General features: G+C 42.2%; 1 protein-coding gene across 4 annotated transcripts in view; it reads left to right on the forward strand.

Annotated features, from left to right (window-relative positions):
- ITPR1 (inositol 1,4,5-trisphosphate receptor type 1) overlaps positions 1-12,460 on the forward strand; it is a 354,159-nt gene that overhangs the window by 156,203 nt on the left and 185,496 nt on the right. For 2 of the 4 annotated variants that reach the window (NM_001378452.1, NM_001099952.4), the window contains exons 11-14: positions 2,573-2,668; positions 4,292-4,336; positions 8,574-8,728; positions 11,438-11,537. In NM_001378452.1, coding sequence (NP_001365381.1) covers positions 2,573-2,668; positions 4,292-4,336; positions 8,574-8,728; positions 11,438-11,537 — 396 coding nt within the window. 4 annotated transcript variants of the gene reach the window in all.

Below are 12,460 nucleotides of genomic sequence, written 5' to 3' on the forward strand. Positions count from 1 at the left end.
ACTTCCTATCTCTGTAGATTTGCCAGTGCTGAATGTTTCATATAAACAGAATCCTATCATATATGGTCCTTCATATCTGACTTCTTTCACCTAGGATGATGTCTGAGTCCAAATCAGGCTGCTGTTATAAAATATCATAAACTGGGTTGCTTATAAATATCAGAAATGTATTTCTTACAGTTCTGGAGGCTGGAAATCTAAGATCAAGGCACTGGCAGATTCAGTGTCTGGTGAGGGCACTCTTCCTGGTTCATCTGCTGTGTCCTCACATGGCAGAAAGAGAGGGGACTTTCTGGGGTCTGTTTTATAAGGGCAGTGTTCTTATTCATCAAGACTCGGCCTCATGACCTAATCACCTCCCAAAGGTGAAGTATAACGTAAACGATCTCCTAATACTATAACCTTATGGGGTAGGTTTCAACCTATGAATAATGAGAGGACACACACATTTAGACCATACCAGATAACATGTTGAAAGTGTATTCATATTGCCACATGTATCAGTACTTCATTTCTTTTTATTGCCAAGTAATATTCCATTGTATGGATGTATCATATTTTATTTACCCATTTATCATTTAATAGCATTTGGATTGTTTTCACATTTTGGCTCCTGTGAATAAGTCATCTGCTGCTATGAACATTCATATGCAACTTTTTATGTGGATATATGTTCTCAAGGTTCTTGGGAGCAGACTTCTGGGTCATGTAGGAATTCTATTTTTGACCTTCTGAGGAACTGCCAGAATGCCTTCCACAGTGAGTGGCTGCACCATTTTTTATTCTCACCAGCAGTGTGTCAGCGTCCCAGTTCTCCATGTGGCCTTCATTTTGAAGGACTTTTTGTTGGATATAGAATTCTAGGTAGATAGTTTTTTACTTTAAAGATTTTGATCCATTGTCTTTTGGCTTGCATCATTTGTGATTATTCGATGGGTTAAAAAAATGTTCCTTGTATATAGTGTCTCTGCCATGCATCCTACCCCAACCTCAGCTGCTGTAAAGATTTTTCTTTTTTATTTCTAGTTTACATTAATCTGATTATGATATGCCTTAGTGTGTGTGTGTGTGTGTGTGTGTGTGTGTGTGTGTGTGCGCGCGTCTGTCTGTGTCTGTGTGTTTACCTTGCTGGAGTTCATTGAGTTTCTTGAATCTATGGGTATGTGTCAAATGGGAAAACTTTGAGTCATTATGTTTATGATTCAAATATTTCTCCTGCCCTGACCAACCCACGCAGACATGTGCTGGGTCATTTGATATTGTCTGACAGGTCCTGCGTTCATGGGTCACGTTTTTCTGATTCTTTGTCTAGTCCTTTATTTACTGAACATTGTAATACAAGTTTGTTGAGTATGTGGAGTCTGTTGTTCTTTAAAGAGTACTGAATTTTCTTTTGTTGTACACTAAAGTGACCTGTGGATCCCTTTGCTCCTTTGAAGGCTTATTTTCAAGCTTTATTCAGCCAGGTGTTGTGTAGAGTTAATTTTGGGGCTAGGTTAACTCCCCTTCCAAGATGGGACCCCTTTGATGTGTCTACTAACGCACAGGGTGTTCCACATGATCCCTCAGCTTTGGCTTTCCAGAATCAGGACTCCTCCCAGCCCTGTGTGCGCTCTGGGAAAGTTCAGCTTTCAGACACCTTGTTTTTCTTCATTTGGCTTCATAGGGTCTTGCCTTATGCATATGCAGTCTGATGTTCAGCCCAAAACTCAAGGGAGCCTCCTGTGCAGACTTCCAGAGCTTTTTCTGTGTGTAGTTCTGTATGCATTAGTACCCCATCCCCACAAATTCTAGCTGCCTCAGTCTCCCTAAACTTTGATCTGTCTCCTTAACTCCATGAGCTTCATGCCCTTAGCTTGGATTCTTCCTCCCTATGCTGCCATCCAGAGAGGACCCTCAGGTAGAAAATCAAAGCAATAGCCAAGCTGGCCTTGTTTGTTTCCCTATTCTCAGAGATCACCATTGTGTACCACCAGTTGTCCAACATGTGAACACAGTTGTTTGGGATATTTTATCCAGTTTTCTAGTTGTCTATGGCAATTTCATCTATTCTCTGCAGTGTCTAATTGTTTATGGCACCAACTACCACTGCTAGTTAACTCTGTCATGGCCAGAAGCTGATGTGACATTTATTTTTCTGATACATTGGCCCCGGCTCTGAGTTTCACATTTCAGAGCACAGGCCTGCGTGTGTGTTCTAGCACATGAGTACATGCGTAGATTGCTTTGACAGTTCTCCACGAAAGTCCTTTTTATTGGCTGTGCTTTTGGTAGGTAAATTTCAGAATCTGCTACTTCATTATGGCTAAGGCAAATAACCTGAAAACCACTGAAGTTTTTATTCCAACCATTGTATGTTAACTAGGAGACTCGATGCCTTCTTTGGAGAGACACTGCTTACTTTTCAGTTTGGATGCTACACGTGACACTGGCAATGGGTTTGTTGAAGATGCTGATTTTCTTTTTCTAGCTTATAAACATCCCTCCTGAACTATGACTTGTGATACCTCCGATTTAATGTCTTCCTAGTGTAGGTTGACATTTCATTGACTCCTGTTGATCATTCTTGCAGGTGGTCCAGCATGACCCATGTCGGGGCGGAGCAGGGTATTGGAACAGCCTTTTCCGTTTCAAGCATCTGGCCACGGGGCATTACTTGGCAGCAGAGGTAAGTAGCAGCTCCTGTGGTTTTCTCTTTCAAGGCTGACGCACCTCACCGCCTTTCCTCATTCGCCTGTAGCCGTCGTGTTGTAAAAGGCTTAGGGAAATACACTCAGTCACCTTGCTTTTCCTCCTGTTTTTCTGTTTCCTTCTGATTCATTTTCCTAGAAGACTCAAAAATGATTACCACATTTTGGTAGGTGACAGGGATGCTGATCAAGATGTGGGGAGAAAGTAAGTTAGAAGATCATGCCGATCTAGGTTTTCGGTATTATTTTCCATTTCGCTTTTATATACGACCCTCCCCACGTCTTGTCTACCAGCCCCACACCTAGCATGAGCGACTGAGGCTGCAGCAGAAACATGATATGTGGAACCGGAAGCACTAAGACGTATAAGGAATTAGATAATCTTATAAAGAAATTTGGCTACTCAGAGCATTAGTGGAATAGACAGTGGCTTATCTTTTACTTGTAGGAATGTCAAAAATCACGGAAATTAACTTTACCTTAAATGTCTGTGAAGGGGCCAGGCACAGTGGCTCACACCTATAATCCCAGCACTTTGGGAGGCTGAGGAGTTCAATATCAGCCTGGCCAAAATGGTGAAACCCCGTCTCTACAAAAATTAGCCAGGTGTGGTGGTGCACGCCTGTAGTCCCAGCTACTTGGGAGGGTGAAGCAGGAGAATCGCTTGAACACGGGAGGCAGAGGTTGCAGTGACCCGAGATCGCACCACTGCAGTCCAGCTTGGGTGACAGAATGAGACTCTGTCTCAAAAAAAATGTCTGTGAAGAGTTTTTGAGGAGACGAAAGACTCAATGCTGAAGGACAGGAGGAATTTACCTTTTAATTTTTGTATCAAATGAAGCAGCCATCCTACTGTGTGACATGTCGAGCTTTACTCTGATCTGCTGGGAGATGTATGATGCATATTTCTATCAGATTCTAGTCGTGCATCAAAAGACCCCCACTGTTGTCTGGGACCACCCATGAGACTACTGAGAGATTTCCAAGGTGATGGTGGGTGTCAGCACTGCTCCTGTGCCTGACCCGAGGAAGGCTGGCTCTTAAGTGTGCTCAGCCCCCCACGGTGCCTAATACATGAAGTGATGATTTTGATATATTTAAGAACTGAAGATCAAGAACTCCAAGTTCAAATTTGAGATAAAGCCATAGGGAATTACAGACCCAGCTAATCAGCTGTGAGAGATGATTTATGTGGTTTCCTGAAGACTAATGGTGGTGGCATTATCTGTCATGTTTTGAAGCTAATGTAGCTCTTGCTGGAGGCCTACATTTTTTATTTTTAGCTAAAAATAGGATTATCAGTGACTGTGTATTGATCTTTTATTCATCTCAGGCTTTTAACTATTGCTTTGCCAGTGAATTCATTGTCTTCCTCTGTCTATACTTGAGAGCCGTCTCTTGGTGACTGGTGGATGTTCCATGTGTGCTGTACCCATGTGACCTGTATCATTGTCGTGGCATGCTGGTTTTGTGAACAGAGGGAATGGACAAGTTCTTAGCTGTTCAAGGATGTTTGCAGGCCTTGAAGTCTCCTGCAAGTGGGGCCCAGTCCTTAAGAAAGCAATGGATGTTTTAATTTCCTAATGATTCTTTTTCATCAGGTAGACCCTGACTTTGAGGAAGAATGCCTGGAGTTTCAGCCCTCAGTAAGTATGGACAAGAGCCTTCTTGTCTTCATCTGGTAGGGTGCGGCCAAATGATCTGGAGCTCCATTTAAGAAACTGTCACTGTGGTCACGGAGTGCTGGGGAAGGAGGAACCTTAGGCTCCCTTAAAACACGATCATGTTCTGTGCTTCCCTTGAGAGGGACCATAGTCCTTTGTGTCTCGATTGGTCCAGGGACTGTTGTTGATGATGGTATTTCCATGTGTAGTAACGGGGTCTCCATTTCTAAGTTGGAGAAGTTCATGGTATCACTTGGAAGACTCCTAGGGTTGGAGACAGTGACACCTCATATGGAAGATGGTCTTTTCAAACCAATTGCCTTATTGCTGTTGACCTCAATCCATGACTCACACAGCTTTTTCAGGGAGTAAGTATGTGAGGTGGATAGTGTTACTGAGGCTATGGAGGTAACACATGAGGCTTAGTGCACCTGGCGTGTGATTAGATACTCAGCTAATCCGTCCTTGATTTCTGCAAGGTCAGAAATAGGCTTTAGTGTATAGGATGGTTTAGAATTTTAAGTGCAAAATGGCTCTTTCTCTGGAGACCATATCGCCAAGTAATGCTGATACGTAGACACTTTGGACTTCAGGTGTCCACATTTATGGGTTGAAGAAGGCAGCGGTTGTGTTACATGGAAAGGGTGGGTATAAGTAAGACAGTTTTCTTGTGGAGTGCTTGATTCTGGTCTAGGATTGAAACAGTTGCTCCTGTGTCTGACATGTGTGTCTACACGATGATCTCAGCAGTGGGCATGGAAGGTGGTATTGAGGGTGTTTCTTTCTTTTTTTGGCAAGATTTTGAAAAAGAAATGGAGGGATTTTCTTAAGGCACTTTAATGAAGGGAATTGGGTGAAGGGAATTCAAATTGTAATTGTCCTTGGAAAGTGTTGTGAATTCTGCTGTTATGGTTATCCTTCTAGTTATGTCTTGGTGAAATGTTGGCTTTGAAAGACACTCTGACTGAGGCCTTCCTGCTGTGGGTTTGTGGATTTGCTGGGGAGCCTCTCCTCCCTTTTGTGCTCCTTACTGGGGTACCCGAGGCTCACCTTCCTTTTTTTCATCCTTGTCACCCCTATTTCTAGAGTCCATTTTGAAAGCTTTGCTTCCACAGTTAATATGGCTTGGAAAACCCTGACCCAGTTTAACCCTCTGTCAGTGCATGAGGAACTCTGTGGTAAAACTTCTCTGCATCATGTTCATGTTGTTATTGTTTGAACACTTGGACTGGGAGGGACGTCATGTTTCACAGGATGGTTCTTGTCCTTGCACCTTCTTTATTTCAAGAGAAGGAGCTGCCTCTGTGTGGCCAACATCTGGTGGTCTCCATGCTGCCGTCTGTGGTGACATGGAGGAAATCTTACCTCTGAGATTAGGCAAGCTGTGGATCCTTTCGGTGAGCGCTGATGTCCAAGTGAACTTTGTGCTCTGGCGGGTAGAGGGCTGCTCTCCTGGCCTCCTGGTACAGGAGGGAAGACTGGCATTTATGGTGCAGGAGGAAGAGTGCAGTTTAAATACCAGACCTACCATTTATGAGCTGCTGTGTGACCTTGGACAAGTTACTTGCCCTCTCTGAGCCTCAATTCCTTCATCTATACAAGTGGCATTTTTCAGGTTCTCCCAGATCATTAGCATTTTTAGTGCCTTTGCGTCCACCAGGTTGTCTGGGCTGCACAGCAGTGTATAAAAGGAGTTAGGGTGGGTTTTAGGATCTTCCTGGTACAGAGGAGGAAGCAGCCGTTGAGAGTGGTCCAGACTCATCCCCCATCTCAGGCTCCCTCAGAGTTCAGTGGTCTTTTGACGTTTTCGTGCTTTTTGGCGTCAGAGAGGCGGATGTGCCAGCAGCCTTGGGTGCAGATCTAGACTGCATCACTCTGGCTACTTCGATGTTGATTGGGGGTGGGCTGCTTGCAGAGGAGGGGTGCATGGAGAGGGGATCTTACCCGACGCCCACACGGCCAACAGCACAGATCTGCCCGGTGGCAAGGTGTTAGTACTGGGAGGACCCCACCCCCCTCATACTCTTCTTGGTTTGGAAACTTGGATGGAAAACCTCGAATTTTTTTGAGTTGATTGGTTTCCCTAAGAACAGCTTCAGTGCCTGTGGTTTTTGCCTCGGACCTCACTTGGCTTTGTTGTGCTCGTCCTTCTAAATTCAGCACCCTGAAGACACTTGCTTGGTGCCAGAGGGAGAAAAAGGACCACCAGAGGCTCCCGCTCCTCTGCCAGGCTTCTGCACATGTGCCTTTCTTTCCACTAGGTGGCAAGCGCCGACTGCACAATGAAAGGATGTCAGGACGCTGCCTCTCAGTCACTTTTCCAGACACAGTGGACGTAATGCAATTGTGATTTTCCTCTCAACTCCCACAGGTCTCTGAAACTTAACTGCCAGCCTGTAGCTGAGTCCTGTGTCTCAAACCATAGCCAGGTCAGAGTTTATTTTGAAAGTGGCATGTGGAGTAATATGCCAGATGGTTCGGAGAGAACAAATGTTGCTCAAAGTTCTTACTCCTAAACTGCAGTTGTAGAAGTGTTCTGTCACTGTCCAGGTAATTCTTCCTTTAGCGTAGATAGAATAAAGGGTCTGGGGTTTGTGCAAGTAAAGGGATGAGCAATTAGAGGAGAAATTGTGAGAAAGGGAAGAGATACAGGTTTTGGATATTAAAAGAACCTTTTTTAAAAAAACACACATAGAGGTTGGGGGCCGCAGCTGAACTAACAGGCTATTGCCCTGTGCTCCTGCATTTCAGGCCCCGTAAGAGTTAGATTCTCCCAGGCTCTCTCCTTTGCCTTTGATTTGATTTCCGTTTCTTGATTCTTTTGTTTTCCTGGTGAAGTCTCCTTCCTCTCTGTCTGGAAAGGGGGCAGAGCTTCAGCCTAAGAAAAGCAGGCTGTAGTGACAAAGAAAATGTGCTTCCTCAATAGATGCAGGTGGAGGCTGTCATCCTGCAAGGATGTTAGACATGGAAAATCACGCGATGTAGAGTTGCCGGGCTGAGCGCGAGCTGGCCAGTCTCTTCTGAGCAGACTCCTTGTCTAAGCCCCCTCCTTGAATATCTGTAGGCAGATGGGCTTTGGAGCCTAGAATATGCTTTTTTAGTTTCTCAGGAAAGTTTTCATCATTGTTCCTCAGCCTTCGCTATCAGAGATTTTCTTCGCTCTCAGCCAAATCCCTGATGTCTCAGGAGAGGCCCGTCTTCCCTGACCTGTCATCAGCAGCCCTCTCAATTAATGCTGGACATCTTTTTCAGGGCTACGCTGACTTCTCAAATATTTCTTTTGGCTGCGTTGGGGTTGCTGCTTACGAACACTTGGATTCAGGTTTATTTTGTTTTAGTTTTTCTCCTGGGAAGTTGCTATATCATATTGTGAGTAGACAATTATCACTGTAGATGAATCCAGCTGCCCACAACCAAATCTGCAGGATGAGTTTCCTCAACATCCCCTCTCCCCTAGCTCCTGCGGATGGATGTACCTAGAGTTTTTTTTTTGTTTTTTTTTTTTAATCATCTGGAGCACTCCTTCCACGGTCATCTCTTAGTGTAACTGCACGTTTTTGAAAGATTTTTTTTTTTTTTTTGAGACAGAGTCTCACTCTGTCGTCTAGGCTGAAATGCGGTGGCGCGATCTCAGCTCACTGCAACTTCTGCCGCCCAGGTTCAAGTGATTCTTCTGTTTCAGCTTCCCAAGTAGCTGGGATTACAGGCGCCTGCCACCACGCCCAGCTAATTTTTGTATTTTTAGTATTGACGGGGTTTATATTGGTCAGGCTGGTCTTGAACTCCCGAACTGAGGTGATCTGCCTGCCTTGGCCCTCCCAAAGTGCTGGGATTACAGGTTTGAGCCACTGCAGCCAGCCTGGGCTAATTTTTTGTATCTTTAGTAGAGACGGGGTTTCATTATCTTGGCCAGGCTGGTCTTGAACTCCAGACCTCGTGATCCACCTGCCTTGGCCTCCCCAAGTGCTGGGATTACAGGTGTGAGCCACCGTGCCCGGCTGGAACATTTTTATTGCAACACAAAGAGGTAGAGCGTAAATATCCCTGGCTGCATGGCCAGTTGTCATCTTTTAGGACTGCTCTGTAACTGTGGTCCTTTTCCTGCCAACTGCTGACATTCACGATCCTTTCTTCTCCGTTCCTGTGGATTGTGGAATAATTGTAGAAAGTGAAGGCTTTGGCATGCATGGTTCTTGATTTGGTGACTTTACCTCCTCAGGTGGACCCTGATCAGGACGCCTCTCGAAGTAGGTTGCGGAATGCCCAAGAAAAGATGGTATACTCCCTGGTCTCTGTGCCTGAAGGCAATGACATCTCCTCCATTTTCGAGCTAGATCCCACCACTCTGCGTGGAGGTGACAGCCTTGTCCCAAGGTATCATTTTAAAATTGCTTTTCCCCAAAGAATCAGGCCTGGTGTAGGTGGCCTGACCAGGTTTCTTGGAATCCAAATCGTTACTGCCTTTTCTTTTAGATTTTTATAAAGGATTTGGTGAAAGGTTTGCACTGACTGCCCGGTATGGCAACTGATTTTTTTAATGGCTCACCATTGATAAGTTCTCAGTAGTTGAATGAGAAGTGCTATATTTAGGTAAACAAGCCAAACCATAAGCCCAAGTAGCTCAATTTTCCTAGTTCCCTCTACTCCCTTCCTCCTTCCCCAAACCTTGGGAGAGCTCTTGGTTTGGGGAAAAAGGAAGGGAGTAGAGGAAACTAGGAAATTGAATGGAAATAGAATAAACCATTGAAAAGAAATTCTACAAGATAAAATACCTGAAGTTCACTGTTTGCATAGTAAATTTTATTAACAAGTATTGAGACATTCAACCAGAAATCTTTAGTTATTTTTTTAAATTTAACTTTAGTTTTGTTGCTTAAGAATGCATTTTTCAGGGGACATAACTGGACTATAAATAGGGAAACAAGCTTACTCTTAACAACAGAATCAACAATATTAATAATAATGGCTGACACTTATTGAGCGCTGACTGCATGCTAGACACAAAGCTAAGTACTCTACTTGTGTTATATAATTTCATCTTTCTCAAAAAACCCAGTGAGAGATAGGTATTGCTATCACCCTTTCTTGTAGATGAAGAAGCTGAGGCTCAGAGAGTTTAAGCAACATATCATAAGTCAGTGAGTCCCGTAGCAGAACCCAAAATCTTAAATGTTTAAGACACATAGGGTTATTTGGGCAATTCTGACTCTCCAATACCATGTTGGTTAATGGAAATGTCACTGTCATTTATGGATTACACGTATGGCCCCTCGTGAAGTATTAGTTGTGTTTCATCCATTCAGAGGTAGCTACTGGTAACATTTTTGTTTATGTAGTTTTAGACAAGTCTCTGGTCACACAGAGATGACTGTGTCATTTATTATAGATGGGATCATAAGCTATTTTAAACATTTTTAACTGAATAGTATGTTTTATACATATCTCCAAGCGAATGAATATCAGTTGTCATTGTCTTAAATAATTGTTGTAATCAGGCCGGGCGCAGTGCCTCACACCTGTAATCCGAGCACTTTGGGAGGCTGAAGCAGACAGATCACTTGATTGAGTCCAGGTGTTTGAGACCAGCTGGACAACATGACAAAACCCCGACTCTACAAAAAAAATGCAAAAATTTAACCGGGCATGGTGGCACACACCTGTAGTCCCAGCTACTTTGAAGGCTGAGGTGGGAGTATCCTAAGCCTGGGAGGCAGAGGTTGCAGTGAGCCCAGATTGTGCCAACTGTACTCCAGCCTGGGTGACAGAGTGAGACCCTGTCTCCAAAGGAAAAAAAAAAAAGAAACTGTTATAGTCAATTGTAATCATCTTTAAATAACAGTAGTATCAACTAGTTAATATTGTATTAACTGGTTCATTATTGGACTGTTCTGTTATACTGTATTAATACAATATATTAATATAGGTATTCATATGTAATATGTTAATATTACATTGTAACAATAGAATATAATAAATTTGTATTCTATTAACTAGTCCATTATTGAGATATCAGATTGTTTACAGTTTTTATTGTTACACATAATGCTTTGTTGAACATCTGTTTGCCTCATTTGCACCTGTACTATCACCACTGAAGGAAGAATACCTAAAAATAGGATTGGTAGATGAAATTATAGATATATTTTATGTGTTCTACAAGGTGCTAGACTTCTTTTCAGAGTTTTGCTTGATTACGCTCTCACCAACCATACATAGGACTTACTTCCCTAAGCTCTTGTTGAGACTGGGTTTTAGATCTTTGGAATATGATACAATAAAATGATATTGTTTTAACTTGTGTAACTTTTATACTAAGGAGGTTGAATCTATACTTCCATGTTTCTTTGTATTTCATTATTAAATTACCCGTTTGTGTCCTTGTCCCATTTTCACTTCCAATATTCATATTTTTCTTATTGATTTGTAACAGCCCTTTGTGTGTAGAGTAATAACCTTTTAATGCAATGGGCTACTCTTTTATTTTCCCAGGCTATGGTGATTTTTTTTCAACTTTGTTTATGATGGTTCTTTTTTTTTTCTATATAGATTATATAAAATTTAAACTATGTAATGAGAGTTATCCGTCTTTTACTTTTAAAATTTAGGAATCTTATATTTTGTTATATGATTCAAAAGGCTTTCCCTACTGCAAGATTAGTAAATACTCATTTTTTTCCAGAAATTTTATGATCTCATTTATTGTTTCACTGATCCCTATGAAAATTTCAATCATTGCTGTATTATTATTTCTTGTTATAAGCACTAATATATACCCGTAAATACTTCCTGTTGCTCTGTCTCATGCTCTGTTTATGCTGAGACACTCATTCATGGAGTATGATCTTATATTTAGAAGTATAATATATAACAGTAACTGTAGAGTCGTTATGAATGATTTTCTATTGTAAATGCATCAGAATGTGGCTTGGACCTGGACCATTTGCCCCTTCGTGTATACTGCCCAGTGTATGCAGTAGGAAACCACTTTGCTATTTCTATTTTGATAGATTATATTCTAGACTAGGGGCTATAGAGTAAACCTCAATATTTATTTCCCTAAAACCCTCCTTTTTTCCCTGTTAGGAACTCTTATGTTCGGCTCAGACACCTATGTACTAATACCTGGGTTCACAGCACAAATATTCCTATTGACAAGGAAGAAGAAAAGCCCGTGATGCTGAAAGTAAGTCCTGGGACTTGCCTGTCTCCTTTTGGTCTCGTGTTTCCTAATGAAAGGGCTCCTTTGAGGACAGATCAGGGAGTATGGAGCGTGGAGATTTGTTGCTTTGGCGAGAGTGTGGTCATGGCCGAACTTGAATGTGACAAAAGAATACTCTCCACGAGACCTGAGTGGAGCAAACCCAGGGCTTTTGAAATAACTACAACTTTTTAATTTTATTCCATGGCTTCTGCCATAATGGTTGAGCAATTTTCTGGATTTCAACTGCATTTCATGACTGTCTGAAGGATAATTTGGGCTGGGGAATGTTTGCTTTTGTCTTGAGGTACATCAAGTATCTAGTTGATTTCCCCCAATCTCTATTATTTGTTTCTCTCTATATGTCAATATACACTTTTATTTCATGAATGTTCTCTCCAGCCCCTTTACTTTCTCTCCCTACTTCTCCTTCCCCCTGTCTCCAGGGTCATACAGTATAAGTAAATAGACATGGGGGTTTTCTTTTAACAAGTGGAAGGATGCTCTCATGTAACTTTTCTTTTGTTGTGGCATTGGGGAAGGTTATTGAAATTTTTTACTTCTTTACTGAACATTTTTAGATTTATAGAAAAGTTGAAATAATGGTGCAGTGTCTATCCTTATAATGCTCCTCACTTAGAATCATTAATTACCATTTTCCATATTTGCTTTTTCTCTGTATATTTACAAACATCTTCTTTAGTTATGAGAATTTTGGATGCTCCCTGTAACAAATGAAGTTAAAAATGATATTAATGCCTCCTTCCTGCCACACTGGCCCCCATAATACCAATTTCCAGAGATAACAACTGTTAACCATTTGGAGTACGTCCTTGTAGATTTTTTTCCTATATCATTTTAACTGCAAGATAGCTCTAGTATCTTGGGATCAGCCAGTGTCTCGTAAA

This window comes from Homo sapiens, chromosome 3, assembly GCF_000001405.40.
Source record: "Homo sapiens chromosome 3, GRCh38.p14 Primary Assembly".
Lineage (NCBI taxonomy): Eukaryota > Metazoa > Chordata > Mammalia > Primates > Hominidae > Homo > Homo sapiens.